Below are 20691 nucleotides of genomic sequence, written 5' to 3'. Positions count from 1 at the left end.
CTGCATTTATAAAATGTATGGCTTGAGTAGCAGACCAGAGTGTGCTCACCACAACCAAGTAGATCACGAAGAGAAAAGAGGCTTCATCACATATGGCCACCCCATTTCCCAAATTCATTAAATAGGTCCCTTCACTTCAGGAGGTGGAGTAGAGATTTGCAAACGACTAGGTCTATTTAGGAAGCATCTCTCTTCTTGGAGACTGGAAGAGAAGACAATGTTTTAACTTCCATGTCTTATTTGGTTCTGATTGGTATAAAAATACTATAGACTGGGTAAGTTATAAACAATTTATTTCTCACAGTTATGGAAGTGGAGAAGTTTCAAGTTTAAAGCATCAGCATGTTATTATATCAGCACTGGTTAGGGCCCATCTTCTGAATCACACATGGCACCTTTTTGCTGTGTCCTCACAGTGTGGAAGGGACTAGCTAGCTCTCTTGGGCCGTTTTATGAGGACACTATTCCCAATCATGAAGGCCTCACCCTCATGACCTAATCACTTCTCAAAGGCCCTACCTCCTAATATTATCCTCTTGGGGATTTGGATTTCAATATATGAACTTTGGAGGAACACATTCTGTCTATAGAACACAGAAAGTAAATCAAACCTATGGCTGCATTCTAGACCTATGGAATGTGGAACTGCTTAACTTTGGGAGTCTAAATTTGAGTATATCCCTCCCAGATTACTAACTCTACCTTTATAGACATCTCACTGCACACATGTCAGCCACATGATCACTCCCTCCATTTCCCGCTGGGTTACCAGCTCTTGTTGATCTCATTCACTTCCCTACCAAGTCTATATCTATTTTATCTAAACTATAAAATTTACCCTCAAAACTTCCATAGCTTTCAACATTATTTATTCTAGTGTTTACCACATTATTCCTATTAGTATTACCACTGACTAATCATCCATAGCCCATGCTCATCAAAAACTTTATTTTCCTTGTAATTATAGGAAATAAATTGGAAAGTGGATTTTGTCTCTTCAAATGATAAAGAGACAAAAATCACATAAATAGTTAGATTTTATTGTGGGGGTGTTGGGAAAATCCTTGCCAGTTTTTGTGTTTTAGAGAGTTGACATAATTTCACTCATGTTATTGAACTGATACCAGTTCAACTTAAACACTAAAAGAAATAATAATGAAAGTTGCAGAAGAAGTTGGGAATACATTTTATAAGTTTGGATGAAATAGGTCTGAACAGAAGCAATGACTAGGGGAATGACAAGGAGGACATGGGCATGGGAAACTACAGAATGAACAGGACCTGGAACAGGACTTAGAACCAGTACAAAGGAGAGAGTAGGAGGCATCAAAGGTGACTGCTGGTGTCTATCAATACCTGGCACATGAGGAAAAACATGAATATATGTTGAATGCAATATAGTGTTTATAATCAGTATTTTTAATAAAATTAAGTGAATATTAGGTAACTCCCTGAATATTAGAGGGATTTCTTTGAACATTTTTAGAATTCTATATATTTTATGTTATACTAAAATAAAGGCTATTTTAAATATCTTTTCCTCTTACTTCCCACTTCAATAATTTTCTCATTTCCTCAGTTGTGAAAAGGTCACTTTATTGTTATGCATCATAGTCATTTAACTACATTTCTATTAAATGGTCAAGAGTTTGATGACAGCACCTCTGAAGAAACTGCTTTGGATTATATACAATTATATGAAATTACTAATGTATATTGACAACTTGCAATGTATCAGGTACTTAATAGACATCATCCTATTTAATTGTCAGAACAACTCTCAGAGGTATCTGTTATTTCCAATTTGTGTATGTGTAAACTGAGAGCCCAGTGAATAATTATATTGGTTCAAATCTGCACAGTTGGTGGGCATGAAGCCAAGACTTCCATTCAAGTTTTTCTGACTGCATCACCTGTAGTCCTATAGACAATAAACTGTCTTTACTTTGTAGTAGACTGTAAAATACAGTATAAATTTTGCATTACCTCCCTTTACTGTTGTTGCTGTTGTCTGTTCCTGAATTCTGTTGAATAATTATTGCTTTGAGAATTATTGCTGTCTTAATGAAAATTAAAAATGGTGTTTGTGTTTTACAAAATATGCAACTATGCCCAAGGCAATAATTTGAAATATGATAAAATCTGACCATATGTGAACATTTTTTTAAATGAATATAACAGTTTAATTGAACATGCAAGGCTGACCCTTAATGCTACTCTGTCTAACATAACAGTGTTAAGAAGAGGAATTGGTACAGTCTGCACTCTTTAGTATTTTTAATAATGCTATTTTAATTGACAAATTATAATTGTATACATTTATAGGATAAAATGTCTGGATTATTTCACTTAACATAATGTCCTCCAGGGTCATTCACATGGCCTCCAGTAACAGAATTTTGTTCTTTTTATGGCTGAATAATATTGCATTGTGTGTATATATACCACATTCACTTTCTTCATTCATCCATTGATAGACACTTGGGTTTATTCTGCATCTTGGCTATTGTAAATAGTGCTGCAATGAACATGGAGGTAAATATAACTCTTTGACATACTGATTTCCTTTCCTTTGGATACATACTCAATAGTGGGATTATTGGATCATATGATAGTTCTAATTTAGTTTTTTAAGGAACCTCCACACAATTTTGCATACTGTATGTGCTAATTTACATTCCCATGAACAGTGTGCAATGATTCCCTTTTGTTTACATCCTCACCAGTACTTGTAATCTTTCATCATTTTGATAATATGCAACAGGTGTGAGGTGATAGCTTATTGTGGTTTTAATTTGTATTTCCCTAATGGTTAGTGATACTGAGAATCTTTTTTATGTACCTCTTAGTCGTTTGGATGTCTTCTTTTGAGAAATGTTTTTTTAGATCATTTGCCTACTTTTTTAATCAGGTTGTTTGTTTTTGCTATTGAGTTGTTTGAGTTCTTATATATTTTGGATATTAACTCCTAATCAGATGAGTAGTTTGGAAATATTTTAATCCACTCTGTAGGTTGCTTCTGCACTTTGTTAATTGTTTTCTTTGTTGTGCAGAAGCATTTTAGTTTGATGCAACCCCATGAGGTTATATGCAAAAGTCATTGCCCAACTAATGTTGTATAAGTTGTCCCATATTTTTTTCTAGTAGTTTAACAGTTTCAGGTTTTATATTTAGGCCTTCTTCCATTTTGAGTTGATATTTGTGTATGGTATAATATACGGGTCCAATCTTATCCTTCTGCATGTGGCAAACCGGTTTTCCCTACACAATTTTTTGTTTTGTTTTTAATTTCAACTTTTATTTTAGAATCAGGAGGTACATGTACAGATTTATTACATAGGTATATTACACCCAGGTAGTGAACATGGTACATAATAGGTAGATTTTCAATTCACACCCTGCTCCCTCCCCACTCTAGTAGCCCACATGTCTCTTGTTCCCATGTTTCTGTCCATGTGTGTTCAATGTTTAACTCCCACTTACAAGTGAGAACATGTAGTATTTAATTTTTTGTTCCTGCAGTAATTCACTTAGGATTATGGACTCCAGCTATAACCCTGTTGCTGCAAAGGACATGATTTCATTATTTTTTACGGCTGCATACTATTCCATGTAGTATATGTACTACATTTTCTTTATCCAAATCCACTCTTGATGGGCACCTAGGTTGATTCCATGTCTTTTCTATTGTAAATTGTGTTGTGATGAACATGCAAGTGCTTGTGTCTCTTTGGTATAATGATCTATTTTCTTTGGCTTATACATCCAGTAATAGGATTGCTGGGTTCAATGGTAGCTTTGTTTTAAGTTCCTTGAGAAATCACCAAACTGCTTTCCACAGTGGGTGAACTAATTTATATTCCCACTAGCAGTTTATAAGTATTTCTTTTTCTCCACAACTTCACCCAAGTCTATTTTTTTGACTTTTTTAATATAAGTCATTTTGACTAGTGTGAAATGGTATCTCATCATGGTTTTTATTTGCATTTCTCTGATGATTAGAGATGATAAACATTTTTTAAAATGTCTGTTGGCTATTTCTATGTCTTTTTGGCTGTTTGATGTCTTTTTTGAGAAGCGTCTCTTCATATCCATTGCCCATTTCTAATGGTTTTTTTTTTTTTTTTTTTTTTTTTGCTTGTTGATTTGTTCAAGTCCCTTATAGATTCTGGACATTAGACCTTTGTTGGATGCATAGTTTGCAAATATTTTCTCCCATTTGATATGTTGCCTGTTTACTCTGTTGATAGTTTCTTTTGCTGTACTGTAGCTCTTTAGTTTAACTATATCCCACTTATCAATTTTTGGTTTTATTGCAATTGCTTTTCAAAACTTAGCCACAAATTCTTTGCCAAGACCAATATTGAGAAGAGTATTTCCTAGGTTTTCTTTTAAGATTTTTATAGTTAGAACTCTTACATTTAAATCTTTAATACATCTTATTTAATTTTTGTATGTGGTGAAAGGTAAGGGTCTAATTTCATTCTTCTGCATATGGGTAGTCAGATATCCCAGCTCCATTTATTGAATTGAGAATTACTTCACCGTTGCCTGTTTTTGTGACTTTTGTCAAAGATTAGACAGTTGTAGGTGTGTATCTTTTTACTGTGCTTTATATTATGTTTCATTGGTCTATGTGTAGGTTTTTATACTAGTACCATGCTGTTTTTATTACTGTAGCCTTATGGTATAGTTTAAAGTTGAGTAGTGTCAATATAATTTATTGAAGACACTCTCTTTTTCCCATTGAGTATTCTTGACATACTTGTCCAAAATCAATTGACCATAAATGTGTTGGTTTGTTTCTGAGCTTTCTTCCTGCTTCATTCATTGATGTCTCTGTTTTTATGCCAGTAGCATGCTGTTTTAATTATAATAACTTTTGAAGTCATGAAGTGCAATGCCTTTAACCTTGTTCTTTTTGTTCAAGGTTGTTTTGGCTATTCACATTATTTCATAGTTTCATACAACTTTAAACATCGTTTTCCCTATTTCTTGAAAAATGCCATGCAATTTTGATAGGGATTGCATTGACTCTTTAAATCACTTTGGGTAATATATACATTTTAACACTACTAATTCTTTCAGTACATGAACATGGGATTTTTTTCATTTATTTGTGTTTTAATCAATTTCTTTCATCAGTGTTTTATAATTTTCAGCATATATGTGTTTCACCTCTAAGTAAATTTGCACCTAAGTATCTTTGTTGCTATTGTAAATAGAATTAATTTTTTCTGCTAGTTCATTATTAGTATATATAAACATAGCATATATATTTTCTATATGAATTTTGTATCCTGCAACTTTACTGAATTTGTTTAACTCTTCTAACAATTTTTTGGTGGAATCCTTAAGGTTTCCTTTTTAACAGATCATGTGATCAGCAATTTCACATCTTACTTTCCTATTAGTATGCCTTTTATTTCTTTCTCTTGCCTAATTGCTCTAGCTAGGACTTCCAGTACTGTGTTGAAAGTAAGTGGTGAGTGTGAGCATCCTTATCTTGACCCTGATCTTAGCAGAAAAGCACTTTACTTTGCTTTTCACCACTGAATATAATGTTAATTAGTATTTGTTATTTATAGTCTTTATTGTGTTGAGGTATATTTAATCTATACCTAATCTGTAGACAGTTTTTATTATGAAAGAGTATTATATTTTGTCAAATGCTCTTTCTGCATCTATTGAAATGATCATAAGGTTTGCGTCCTTCATTCCGTTAATGTGGCATATTACATTTATTGATTTGTTTATATTGAACTATCTTTGGATCCCAGAGATAATTCCCCCCTAAAATCATGGTCAGTGATTCTATAATGTGTTGTTCAATTTGGTTTCTTAATATTGAGAATTTTTGCATTTATGGTCATCAGAAATATTGGCCTATAATTTTCTTTCCTTGTAGTATCCTTGTCCAGCTTTAATAACTCCTATTTTCCTAGATAGTCTAGCTAAGGATTTGGTGATTTTGTCTTTTCAAAAAACCAACTCTTGGTTTGTTGATTTTTTTCTATTATTTTTCTACTCTCTATTACATTTATCTCTGTTCAAATCTTTATTATTTTCTTCTGTTTGCTAACTTGGGGCTTAATATATTCATCTTTTTTTTTAGTTCATAATTTTTTTGTTTTACATTTTTTACACCAATGTAACAAAAAGGTGGAAGGGAAGGGAGCCTGACAGACAGTGTATGTTATGCTTATAAGTTGGGGGACTGGGAGGAAACAGGGGCAGGGGCCCAGGTGAAGAGAAAACACACGGTCTCTATGGAAATATGAAGAGTTTGGATAGCAATGTATGATGGGAGACAGGTTCAGAAATGGCAGAGGGTGGCCATCTGGCTTTATTCTCAGGGAGAGAAGGTGCTGTGCCTTTTCACAGTCCACAATGTGAATCCCAGCAGACTTTTATCTTGATCTATAGCAATCCCCTTGACCTATAGCAATCCCCATCTCTGTTGCAGTCACACAAAAGGTAATCCTTTCCCACTTCCTTGTCTCTGGCAATTTTCATTATCTGATTAACAGAAGGCAAGAGATCTTCACATAGATGAGGGATCAGGTCAATCAGGTTGCTGAGCTTTTTCTCAATTTGCTGTGGAGGTAGGTGCCTCATTAGGTCTAAGGCATAGTCCAACTGCTGATCACTCATGGTGGCAGAGGCAGCGGCAGTCCCCATCCTGGTGTCTGTGATTTTCCACCCCATGGCAGCAGGGCCAGGCACTTCCCATATTCATCTTTTTCTAGGTTCTTGAGGTGTAACATTAAATTCGTTGAGATCTTCTTTTTCGAAACAGGCATTTGTTGCTATAAATTTCTCTCTTGGGATTGCTTTTGCTGCATTGAATAAGCTTGTATTTCTATTTTTATTTGACTCAAGGCATTTTTTAATTTTTTTATTTATCCTGTGATCCACGGGTTGTTAAAGCATAACTTGTTTAATTTCCACACGTTTATTCTCCAAATTTCTTCCTATTGTTAATTTCTAGTTTCATGTATCTGTAATCAGAATAGATACTTGATATGATTTCAAACCCTGCAAACTTTTTAAGACTTGCTTTGTGACTGAACCTACAATCTATCTTGGAGAATGTTCCTTATCTGCTTGAGAAAAAAATGTATAATCTGTTAATTTTGAATGGAATATTCTGAATATGTATGTTGGGTCTATTTGATACAAAATGTAATTTATGCCCAATGTTTCCTTGTTGATTTTCTGTCTGGGTGATATATTCATTGTTGGGAGTGGGGTATTGAGATCCCCAACTATTATTGTATTGCAGTTTATTTCTCTCTACAGTTCATTTAACATTACTTTATATATTTAGGTACTCCAATGTTGGGTACATTTATATTTACAATGATTATGTCCTCTTCATAAATTGACCCTTTTGTCTTCATATAATGAGTTTTTTCTCTCTTTTTATAGTTCTTGAATTAAGTGTGTTTTGTCTAAGTATAGCCACCTCTCCTGTCTCTGGGTTTCCATTTGCATGAAGTATCATTATGCATTTCTTCACTTTCAGTCTTAGTGCCCTTACTAGTAAAGTGAGTCTCTTGAAGGCAGAAAGTAATTGGGTCTTGTTTTTTATTCATTCAGTCACTCTATATCTTTTGATTGGAGAATGTATTCCATTTATATTTAAAGTAATTATTGATAGGTAAGAACTTGTGACTGCCATTTTTAATTTTTGTTGTTGTTCTGTTGATCTTTTTTTTTCTTCTTCTTCTCTTGCCATCACTGTGCTTTGATGGTTTTCTGTGGTGATATGCTTTGAATCATTTTCAAAAATGTTTTGTGCAACTATCATAGTTTTTTTTGTGGTTACTATGAGGCTTTACATAAAATACCTCATACCAAGCTATTGTGAGCTGATAACAGTTTAACTCTAATTGCATACAATCACTGTATACTTTCATTCCTTCCCCCTAAATTTATGGTTTTGACATCAACATTTACATCTTTTAATAATCTGTATCCCTTACCAATTTATTGTAGCTATAGTTGTTTTCAGTATTTTTGTCTTTTAATTCACATAGTAGAGATAAAATTGTTTTGCACACCAACATTATATTATTAGAGTATTCTGAATGTGACTCTGCATTACTAATACCATTGAGATTTTTGCTTCCATGTTTTATGTTATTAATTAGTAGCCTTTTATTTCAGGTTAAATAACTTCCATTGGTAAATCTTGTAAGGCAAGCCAAGTGGTGATGAACACCTTCAGCTTTCGTCTGCCTGAGGAACTTTTTTATTTTTCCATTATTCCTAAAGGACAGCTATGAGAAATAAAGTATTCTTGGTTGGCAATTTTTACCTTCAGCACTTTGAATATATTATCTTACTCTCTTCTGGCTTACAGAGTTTCTGATGAGAAATCTGCTGATAGCCATATTGGAACTCCCTTGTATGTGATACGTATTTTTAATATTTGGTTGCTTTCAGATTTTTTTTTTTTTGCCTTTGGTTTTTGCAGGTTTGGTTATGATGCATCTTGGTGAACTCCTTTTTGGTTTTAATCTGACTGAAGAGTTCGAGCTTCCTGTATGTAGAGATTGTTCTCTTTCCATAGATATTGGAAACGTTTAGCCATTATTTTCTTAAACATGCTTTGTGGGCCTTTTTCTCTCTTTTCTCCTTCAGGAATTGAATGATGCAAAAGTTAGTGCTCTTAATGGTGCCCATAATTTCCAAAAACCTTCTTCATTTCTTTTTCTTAATGCCCCTTTAGATAATTTCAAATGTTCTCTCTTCAAGCTCACTGATTTTTTCTTTTGCTTGGTCAAGTCTACTTTTTTGTTCATTTATTTTAATCTTTGTATCTAGAATTTCTTTTTTATTGTTTATATTTTTTGTCAAACTTCTCATTCTGTTAATGAAATGTTTTCCAGGTTCTATTTAATTTTCTAGCCATCTTTTATGATAATTATCTGACCTTCTTAGGATTATTTTGGATTATTTGTCAGTAATTTCACCGATTTTCATTTTTTTCAGGTTCTATTATTGGAGCTTTACTAGGTTCTTTTTTTAAGGGTGTTATGTCCCCCTGATGTTTTGTAATCCTTGTGTCCTCTCATTGGTGTCTGAACATTTAAGAAAATGGCCACCTCTACCAGCCTTTGCAGATGTTCTTTGTAGAGATGGATCTTTACTATTTAGACTAGCCTGGGATTCTAGATAGGCCAGTTGGTAGCAATTCTGGACAAATAGACCCTGCTGCCAGGTTCTCTAGTTGAGCAGGGCCACTGTCTTGTCTGAGGTGGAGTGGAACTGCTAGCAGTGCTCCACAGACCAGTAAGACCACTGGCTGGACTCCACAGCCAAGCAGAGCTACTGACTTGTCTTCACCACATCCTCTGATTAGGCAGGATTGCATGCTGTCTTCCCTGGCTGGGTGGTCCTTCCAGTTGAAATCTTTAGATGGACAGAGCTGCATTCTGCGCTCTAGGGTTGAGTGAGGTCTCTGAGGTTGCTGTTCAGCTTCTCTGGTTGGCAGGGCCAGAGGCTATGCTGCACAGATATGCCTGGACAGCGGCTTGCCTCCTAGCCTGAGAAACGTTTGTACAGAGCACCAAGGCTTTGCAAAGTTGTTACTTGGCTGCTGGGGGTTGGAGAGGGTCAGATGTTCTGTTCCACAGATAGTAAATTGTCACTTGCCTGTTCTCCTAGGAAAGGTTTATGTAGAGTACCAACGTTTTGTGGGGTCGACACTTGGCAACTTATCTCTACAGCATTGTGACAAATATTTTTTCTGTTATTGACTCCGTAATTATTTCTTTATTGGATTCTTACATGGAACACTGGTTTTCTTTGTGGATTTAACATTTACACTGGCAAAAATACATAAGCATTAAAGGTACTAAATTTGAAAGAATTACATATTTGAAAAGTTCTGTCTACATAACTTCTGACACGAATAAGTTTCAAAATCAGAAAAAAAACATAAAAGAAAGAGAAAAAGATGTTTGTCAATAAATTAGTTACAGCTTGTATCACTTAATAAACTAGTAGATCAAGATGTACCTGAGGTTATCCAGTAAAGGAACAACACAATCTAACACAGAGATAAGGAAACCTTTTTGTCTAGCTCTTTTTTTTTTTTTTTTTTTTTTTCAGACGGAGTCTGGCTCTGTCGCCCAGGCTGGAGTGCAGTGGCGCAATCTCGGCTCACTGCAAGCTCTGCCTCCCAGGTTCATGCCATTCTCCTGCCTCAGCCTCCCGAGTAGCTGGGACTACAGGCACCCGCCACTACGCTGGGCTAATTTTTTCTATTTTTAGTAGAGACGGGGTTTCACCGTGTTAGCCAGGATGGTCTTGATCGCCTGACCTCGTGATCCGCCCACCTCGGCCTCCCAAAGTGCTGGGATTACAGGCATGAGCCACCACGCCCGGCCTGTCTAGCTCTTTTTATAAACACTGTACTACAATGTTCCAAACTTTGTAGGAAGTACTTCTGAAGATAAGGTAAGAATAATGACAGTATAAGTACAATGCATAAATTCTTTACTGCAGTTAAGTTTATTTGCTGTGACATTATTTTGATTCAGCTATAAAATTTATTATAAATGTGGCTTTCAATTTTATAGCAAATAAAGTTTATGCTTCATATATTTCAATATCAATAGATGAATTTAGAAATTTTGTTTTATTGGCAAAATTTTAGTATAAATGTCAGATTTCTTAATTATTTTGCAGTTAGTTTTGAAAATGACACTATAAACAACACACTGTATAGAAGAGAATCCTCTTCTTCTCCATACCTGTTATATTTTTTTAATTTGTTAGAGTATAATAAATTACTCTAAATTATTCACAATGCAAACAGTAATCCGTTGATAAATCCACTGTCATTTTATTGACACCTTTGTTGTCGTTTATAAATAATAAGGTTTGACTCAGGAAATGTTCCAGAGTTGCATGTAGTGAAAACTGGTAGCTTTTCAGAGTTCTTCTCCTCAGCTAGTAGAGAATTCCCACATGCATAAAAATTAATTAAACCAAATTTTTTATTTCATAACAACAGAAATAAAGAGCTTCAATTAAACAAACAGATAATTTGTATAATTTAAAAGCATGTCTATTTTATTTATTCATGTGTCTTTCTGTTAACGTTATTCAGGTATTACATATTGCAGAACATAGCAAATCATATAACTATTGCATGGTAACTTCATGGTATAGCTTAAGATGAAAGGTTATCCATTAATTGAGTTGTATTTATATTTATGAGGATCAAGGCAACTGCATTACAAGAAAATTACTCTTTAAACCACTTACTTACCAACCATGTATATATCAACTATATATGAGCAAGGAGAAAGCTATGCAAATGTATGCAACATATTCTTAGCATTGGTTTCAATGGTCATGTGAGAAATGTATGAAAGGGAGGGGTGATTATTAATATTGCTTTTATACATATTTATAGTGTATATTTCAACTTATTGAAGTCGAACATTGCTTTTATAATTTGAGGGGCTAAATGGTATTTGTCAAGCATAGTCTTTTAGCAGTAGTTAAGAATGTAAAACTGTGTGACACTATACCAATTTCCACTAAGTAGAACTGAGAGGTTCAGATATATTTAGTAAGATAGTTATTTTTCTGGATTTGGGCCATAGAACATTAGTAATGCCATTTCAGTGTATTTAATTCCCATCCACATGTGATACGAATGAGTGCTAATAACATAAAAGGGAGAGATAGAGATGTTAGAACTATGGATTGCAAAACAAGAATATACATTATACTCCATGATATGGAGCCTTTAAGACCTAAGCTTATCCTATGGCAGAATTCATTTTTGTACCATGTGGTAAGGCAACAAGAAAGTCAGCAACTTGGTGTGCTGACATTGCAGCAAACATGATTTTAATGAGCTCACCCAGAGGACACATTGAGGAAAAAGTGACATTTCATTGAAGAATATACTATTAAACACAACTCTCCTTGCCCTTTCATTTATCAGGGTATGAGCTAGAAAGCGCATGACTGGTTAAGACTGTGTCATTGTCCTTTAACCCAGGGGCATATGGCTCATTTGCACAGACATTTATTTTGGGACTTTCTCAGTTCAGTTGCTTAACATCTGAGTACGAAGTACCTACATATTACCATCCTAGAGGAGAAAACACTGATCTTTAATGAAATTAAGGAAACATAAATCACATATTTTGGAGAAAAATTAGTCATTGGAAAGAAAGGTAGATACTAGTGCATTAGTAATAGGTCATATAAAATAATTTTCATATCTGTGTTAAATTATTACTTGGGGGGAAACAATTAACTTGTCTTGCTTTTTCTAATTTCCTCTCTCCAAAGACTTTCAATAATAATAATAATAATAATACATTATTAATTTGAACTTTCATTAAGCTTCTCTTCTAATGTATTTAAAGCTCCTGTTTTCACTGGGCTCTGAGATTCACCCAGTCTAGAAACCCCGGAAATTACTTTGCTCCCCATCTCTCTCTTGTCTTTCATACCGAGTCTCTAAAATAAAAAATTCTTCCTGTTTCTAATATGTCCATTGCTGCTTACTACCTTCAGATATTTGTCAGTTACTTCATAACGGCTTTATAGCTTACTTCCTCAGCTCCACTCTTGCCTCCTTTAAACCTTTTTGAACCGTTTCCCTTGTAGTCACAGGAGTTAGACTTTTTCAAATTAAGCAAAAAGAAACATACCTATAGGCTGGCTACAGCGACTTACACCTATAATACCAACACTTTGAGAGGCCAAGATGGGAAGATTACATGAGCCCAGGAGTTCAAGACCAGCCTTGGCAACAGAGGGAGACACCATTTCTGCAAAAAATTTAAAAATTAGCCAGACACGGTGGCTTATGCCTGTAGTCCCAGCTAATTGGGAGGCTCAGGTGGGAGGATCTGCTTGAGTCTGGGAGGGCAAGGATATGGTGAGTCATGATCAAGCCACTGAACTCCTGTCTGGATGAAAGAGCAAGAGCAAGACCATGTCTAGAAACAAACAAACAAACAAAAAACTTACATTTGCTTAAAAATATTTAATAACTCTCCAATATTAATGGATTGATCTTGAAATACAAACTATTTAAAGGCTGACATTTATAGTCTGTATTTGTTTTCAGTTGTTGTGTAACAAGTTACCACTAACTTAGTGACTTAAAACCACACTTCTGTAGGTCAGAGGTCTGGTGTGTCATGGCTGGCTTCTCTGCCCAGGGAATCACAGGGCTGAAATTAAGGTGTCAGCCCAACTGAGTTAATATTTGCAGGCTCTGGGAGAGAAAAAAAACCTAGTATGTCCGGAGTTGGTTCCTTCCGGTGGGTTTGTGGTCTCCTTGACTTCAAGAATGAAGCTGCGGACCTTCGTGGTGAGTGTTACAGCTCTTAAAGGTGGCTTGGACCCAAAGAGTGAGCAGCAGCATTTATTGTGAAGAGCAAAAGAACAAAGCCTGGACAGTGCGGAAGGGGACCCAAGCGGGTTGCCACTGCTGGCTGGGGGTGTCCAGCTTTTATTCCCTTATTTGTCCCACCCATGTCCTGCTGATTGGTCCATTTAACAGAGTGCTGATTGGTCTACTTTACAGGGTGCTGATTGGTCCATTTTACTAACCTCTAGCTAGCTACATAGCGCTGGTTGGTGCATTTTACAAAACTCTAGCTAGCTACAGAGCACCGATTGGAGCATTTTTAGAAAGCACTAATTGGTGCATTTTACAAACCTCTTGTAAGAGAAGTTCTCCAAGTCCCCACTCAACCAAGGAAGTCCAGCTGGCTTCACCTCTCACTAGTTCCAATTTAATTTTTGTTTTTGGCCAAAAAAAAAAAAATCAGTCTTTTGTGATTGTACAACTGAGACAACCACACATTAAGCTTCTAGAAACTACCAGTATTCCTTGATACTGGGACCCTCCAACGGCATGGATCTCGAATTATAAATCTCTTAACATCTTCATTTTCCAACATCTAGGTCTAGATTTAATGTGCTCAACTGATTTATTTTGAACTGTCTGAAAAATATTCGTACTTAAAATTCAAGTGATTGGGATCATAATTACACCTTTAAAACCCTTCAAACAGTACTGAGAATAGTACTTAATTGCATAACATGGAGAGGGGGTATATACACCAAAGGTCTGAAATTGTAAAGGAAATCTTAACATTCTGCCTACCACCCACATACTTCTTTGATAATCTGGCCTCAAATGGCATTTAAATTCAACATCAGCTACTCACACCCCTAGTTCGGTATGTTTCCTGGATCTGCAGCCTTGACATAACCTGGGAACATGTTAGAGATGCAATTCTTAAGCTCATCCGGACGTACTGGATCAGAAACTTTAGGGTAAGGATCAAAAGTTGGTATTTTGAAACACCCAGAGTGTCACGTGATTTTGGTACACCTTATGCTTTGGAACTACTTTCCAATAGTCATACTTCTTGAATGTTGACATGCTCAATAAGCATGTGGCAAATTATTAAACACAGATTTTTCTGCCTCACCAGAGTCTGATTCAGCAAGACTGGGATGGGTCCAGAGAATGTGCATTTCTAACAAACTCCCTGGCGATGCTGCTGCTGCTGGTCCATAAACTTGTTCCCCTTGACTCCATAGTCAAGGGGAACTCTTCAGAGAACCAGCAGACCCTTCCCAGTGTCTTTGACTTTAAATATGCCATTGTCTCTGTCTCAGAATGCCATTTTACACCTTGTCTACCTATGAGATCCGACTTAGTCTGGAACACCTGATCCCAAAACCATTTCTTTCTTGAGGATTTCCCTAGAAAAATGCATTAACCTCTCCTCCAGTTTCTTGAAATTTTTATATACATCAAGACTAGCACTCATGGGATTGTAATTATTTAAATAGCTCTATTTTCCACAAAACTGTTGTGTTTTCCACCTTGGCTGGCATTAGCTCAAACATATTTGGTCCTCAAAATATTTGTTGAATTAATACATATATAAATTAGTGCACACCAGATAGGCAAAAGGATACTAAACTTCCATGTATTCCTAAAAAACATTTATTTCTTATATGTTATTTATATTGTCATGATGTTTGAGAAATTAAATATATGATAATATACTATGGTTTATGCAGCTCAATAATAAACATAGCCAAATTTGTGGATTGCTGAATGCTTGACTGGTTAGATAACTTAAAAATTGTCATTAGTAATCTTATGGCATGTTTCAACAAGGGCTCAAAATTCTATTGTAATTTCATTAAAATAGGAGAGGCTAATGTTTGAATAACTAAAGGAGAATAGTGATTATGTTCTAGGGCAACTTCTTAAGAATCATTACAAGTTAATTTGCAAAGAGAGCTACTAAGAAACTCCTGAATATTTTTCCCTTCTAATTTCCATAAAATAACCTGGTATTTGAGTTGAAGGTGGATAGTGCCTATAGCTTAAATTCATGGAAATTTATATTTATTCATGATTTAGTTTATAATGTCTTGCCATTTCACAAATGGTAACACTGTCTTGAGTTTTACAATTTCATTATGTGCAATGTCAGTACAGTTATAAAATAAAACATTAGAATAAGCACAGGTTGTTGATAATATGATGTACTTGGGCCTCACAAGAACCACCAATGATGATTTTCAATACTTCTTTAGATTTATTTTTATGACAATCTATGTTTATGATAACATTACGATTCATATACTGCAGTAACCTATTTATTATTTTTAAACTTTGGAAAGGGATCAAATGCAAGGGGTAAAAAATTACTGGAAGGAAAGAATAGGAAAGAGGAGGAGTATTAGTAATATTTCATTTATTGATTGATAGGCTCATCACACATTTGAGCAGCTACTTTCTGCAAAATACTGGGCACATAAAGATGATTAACACGTAGTGTTTGAGAGGTCCTAGTCTATGTAAAATTAATTTGTCAGTTAGGCACCATTGTTTAAGAAACTGCAGTATAAATTAGTGGCTCAATGCAGCAGCCATTCATTAATTTTATTATTAATAATTTCCTATAAGTCCTTAGGTCAGCTAGGCAGTTTATGATCTCCCCCGTGTTCTCCCATGCTTCCGAGGTGGGCTGTATGTCACATGGTGAATCTGAGGGCCAATGTGTGAGACAGAGTTCCTCACTTATGATGGGAGAAGTGAAGATCTGGGCCATCAATGTAGTCAGCCTACCATATTAACAAAAGAGTAGTGGCCCCAGGGGCGCTGAGTGGTTTCCCACACAAAAGCTAACCATGTGTATATAGGCATGGGGGCAAAATTGAGCACTTGAGTTTCAGATAACTTAATGTGACTAAATTGTAGAAGGTAACATTGAAGGGTATCACGTGGATGGAGAGAGACTGGAAAACTACTTTATGAGGCTGGAGTGTGTGTGTTCTGTAGCCTGTAATAGACAATGAAGAGGACCATGAGATGTGTGCTTTAGAATGCTAGATAGGTCAGGGTATAGGTTGGAATCTAGATGCATGAAGCTGTTTACAGGGCAATTAAGATAGTTCTGACAAGAGATAACAAGTGCCTGAATGAAGCTAGTGGCTATGAGCAAGAGCAGTGACAAAGTTGAAGAGACATTTAAGAACTCATTGCAGACCTTACATCAATTTCAAAGTCTTTATAGAGCTCGGCAGAAAATTTATTCTTGCTGAGTAGTGAGCAAGTAGTACAAATACTAAATAAAGCTACTTCAGGAACTTCTATCTTGAAGAGGACAAAAATTTTGGCATGGTAGCTGCATGTACTAACCATGTTAATTGCTTCTATAAATTGTGTGTTAATTGCCCTCCATGCATGTGCTGAATACTTCTTGCTTTGGACAACCTGATAATACACCCAAATCACCTTGTCCTGGCTTCCTGCCTCTCTCATTGTTCCTCCACACACTTCTCTAGAGCAATTTTCCTGGTACATGTTTTTCAAATACAAACCAACCAATCCAGAGCCCATGCCATAATCACCTTTTGTACTCAGTGTACACACTCTGGGTCACTATCCACCTGCTCTAATCATCCAGGGCAGGTGCCAGATAACTAGGAACAGTCTCTGCACCCCAGAGCCTGCTGAAATTATTTCAACTAGCCAATCCTAAACCTGCTTACTCTGTCTCATCTTTCCCTTCATGTGGAAACCACAATACAGGCTTTTGCCCACAGTTCTCACTCTGCCCTCTGCCCCATGGCCCAGCCTAGCACTTTCCTACATGGCTCCCTGTAGCATGGTGTGTCCCCTCCTCTTGAAAACTGTGAGTAATAGACTGTTTTCAATGGCAATAAGTTGCTGATCTGTTGGCCTTACTATACCTCAAAATTTATATTAATACACTGTATTTTAAAACATTTGAATAAACGACAATGTAGAAGAAACGGTATTTTTCTGATTTTTTTTACTCTTGCTTTTTAGTTTTAAAATGAGAGCAAATTGAGTTCATTGAAGGCCTTAATGGTAATAGAAAACATAGAACTGGAAAGAGAGGTGAAATAGCATATGGTACAATGTCTTAAAGGAAGTCAGAAGACGTAAGAGGAACAAATTAACCTTGGGCAAGAGAAGAGACTTCTCTTATAAATCAAGAGAATTTTGAAAATAGACTGGACAAGTTTATTGAGTAGATTTAGGACTGCTAACCTCTATTTATGTGAAGTAGGAAGCAAAGATTTCTAGTGAGTGTGAGAAGTGCCTGGGGAATCTTGGAAGCACTGCAGTGGTGAATAGGGACAGAAAGGGAGCAGGCAAATTCATGGATGCTTGAGAGCACTGAGGGCCCAGTGAAGGGCTGGTAGGATTAATGCAAGTTTGATGGACCACAGGATTTCAGTGCGCCTAATGCTCTTTGAAACCTCTTTCTAAGGTTGATCTAAATCATCACTCTTTGGCTGCTGTCTGCCTCAGTGAATCTGTCTGAGCCTCAGTGATTAATTGGGTAGGCATTACTGGGTCCATAATAGAGTTACTCAAGAGACAATGTACCTGTGTGAAATCTCATTTTACCAATGGCAGGGCTTCCTAGTTGAGCATATCAGTATCACTTTTCAGAGCCCATACACCCATTTTAAATTGAAAATGGTATAGTTAATGCATTTCTGAGATGTAGCAAATTTTAAAAATAAATAACAGAAGATATTGGCACAGATTAATCAAACAGAAGCTGAGATACAGTCACCCAGAACCTTCCTACCTTAGCTACTACTTCCGTGCAGAACCCAGTCTCTTGGTTGCCTCTATTTTCTTTCAATAACTATGGCTTTCTTGTCTGACTATTCTCCCTTAAGCTTCCCAGTATCTCACCAGTCTTTAAGATCTCTGCATGGTGTCAGCTCTTCCATGATCACTTCTCCGTCTTGTTTACCTGGAAGTATATCTTTCCTCTGGGCAGCCATGTGGTTTTGCTTCCAGATTTCCAGATTTTAATTAGTTAAGGAGAACTCTCTTACAGCGGATATATGTGTGTGTGTATATATATATAGTCATGAAAAACATATATTATATATGTATATGTATACCAGCTTAGGGGCTGGTATGTATGTATTTCCAGCTCCTTAGCTGGTATACAAGATTTGAGGAAAAGGACTGGGGAGTTTTTAGTCATGTGAAGTCACCAATGTTTCCGGAAAGTACTTTCAGAGTTTCTGTTTTTTGTCGTGTTTCATCACATTTAGAGCATAGGACCTCATACATTGCATGTGCCTGGTTTATATGGTTATATTCCATAACAACAATCACATAATGCTTTCATATTTTACCCAGTGCTATTATGATTACACTCAGGTGGCTCAGTTCATTTTTCTTTATGAGTGAGGTTTAGACTCAAGTTTTAAATTTTTTGTTTAATTAATTTTATTGAAGTGTGATTTAAATACTGTATAAGTTTATGTACCATATCTATTTAAATCGTATGATTTGTGTGATTGATTTTACCAGAAGTACATGCCCATGAAGACATGATCACAATCAATATAAAGAATCTATCACCTCTTAAAATGTTCTTTCTTTTTGGAAGTGTGACTCCCTCCATCTCAAGCCCAGGAAACCATTGATCGTTTTGTCACTATAAATCAGTTTGTACTTTCTAGAATTATATACAAATTAAATTGTGTTGCATGTATTTGTTTCTGTCTTGCTTCTTTTACTCACATACTTTTGAAATTGATATTTATTGCTATGTGTAACAGTTTTCCTCAGCTATGTATTTCTAATGAGTATTCCATTCCATACATATAACTGAGCTCATTCATTCATTTGTTGGTAAGACTTAGCATTGTTCCCAGGTTTTGGCTATGGTGAATAATGTAGGTTGAACATCTTTACACAAGTATTTATGTGGATATATATTTGTATATTTGTATTTCTCTTAGATAAATACCTAGGAATAGAATGGCTACATTATATGCCATTATATATGCCAACAGTTGTCAAAGTGATCATGCCATTTTACATTCATACTAGCAGCATATGAGTATTTCACTTATTCCATGCCTTCATCAAAACTGTGTACTTTTGGTCTTTTAAAATTTTAGCTATTTTGTGACTATTTAGAGATATTTCTTTGTAGTTGTAATTTGCATTTCCCTGATTCCTAATGCTGTTTTCATGTGTTAAGTGGACATTTGTGTATCTTCTTTTGTGAAATCTTTCTCCCATTTTATTATAGGTTGTTTTTAATCTTCTATTATTGAGTTATAAGGACTATTTATATATACTGGATAAAAGTTTGTTGTTTGAAATTTGTCATTGCAAATATCTTATCCCATTTCATAGCTTGCCTTTCCTCTTTTATATGCTCTTTTAAGAGCAAAAAATATTTGATTTCAACAAAATTAAGTGGATTCTTTTTAATTCATACTTTTTATGTACTAAGAAATCTTTTCATACTCTGAGTTAGTAAAGATTTCTGATTTCTCTTCTATTAAAAGTTTTATTATTTTAACCTTCACATTTAGATCTCTACTTAATAGAGTTTTGAGTTGATATTTATGCGTTTTGTTTGATAGGAGTCAAAATTTACTTTTTCTATATGTATATTTAATTGTTCCAACACAATTTGTTAAAAAGACTTTCCTTTTACCACTGAATTTCCTCAAAATCTTTGTCAAAAGTTAATTGACCATATATAAGAGTTTCTTTTTCTGAAATCCCTCTTCTGTTTCATTAATCTATATGCTAATTTTTTTTTTTTTTTTTTTGAGACGGAGTTTTGCTCTGTCCCCCAGGCTGGAGTACAGTGGCGTGATCTCGGCTCACTGCAAGCTCCGCCTCCCAAGTTCACACCATTCTCCTGCCTCAGTCTCCCGAGTAGCTGGGACTACAGGCGCCTGCCACCACGCCCAGCCAATTTTTTGTATTTTTAGTAGAGATGGGGTTTCACCGTGTTAGCCAGGATGGTCTCAATCTCCTGACCTCGTGATCTGCCCACCTCGGCCTCCCAAAGTGCTGGGATTACAGGCGTGAGCCACCGCGCCCAGCGCTCTATATGCCTATTTTAACATACAAATCTCACTCGCTTAATTGCACTAACCTTATACTATTCTTGAAATCAGGTCATTTTTAACTCTTCCAAACTTATTTTAATAATTTATCTATTCTGGATCATTAACATTATCATAAAACTTTTTAGAATATCTTTGCTAATTTCTATAAAATAAATAGTGGTATTTTGAAAGTGATAGCTTTGAATCCATAGGTGAATTCTGGAACAAATGTTATCTTAATAATGA

At 35.5% G+C, this 20691-nt stretch overlaps 1 pseudogene; it reads right to left on the bottom strand.

Moving 5' to 3' along the window:
• Positions 6436-6730, bottom strand: CAPZBP1 (CAPZB pseudogene 1; annotated as a pseudogene).

Source organism: Homo sapiens, chromosome 2 (genome assembly GCF_000001405.40).
Source record: "Homo sapiens chromosome 2, GRCh38.p14 Primary Assembly".
NCBI lineage: Eukaryota > Metazoa > Chordata > Mammalia > Primates > Hominidae > Homo > Homo sapiens.
Note: the sequence above shows the minus strand (reverse complement) of the source record. Positions and strands in the feature narration are given on the sequence as shown.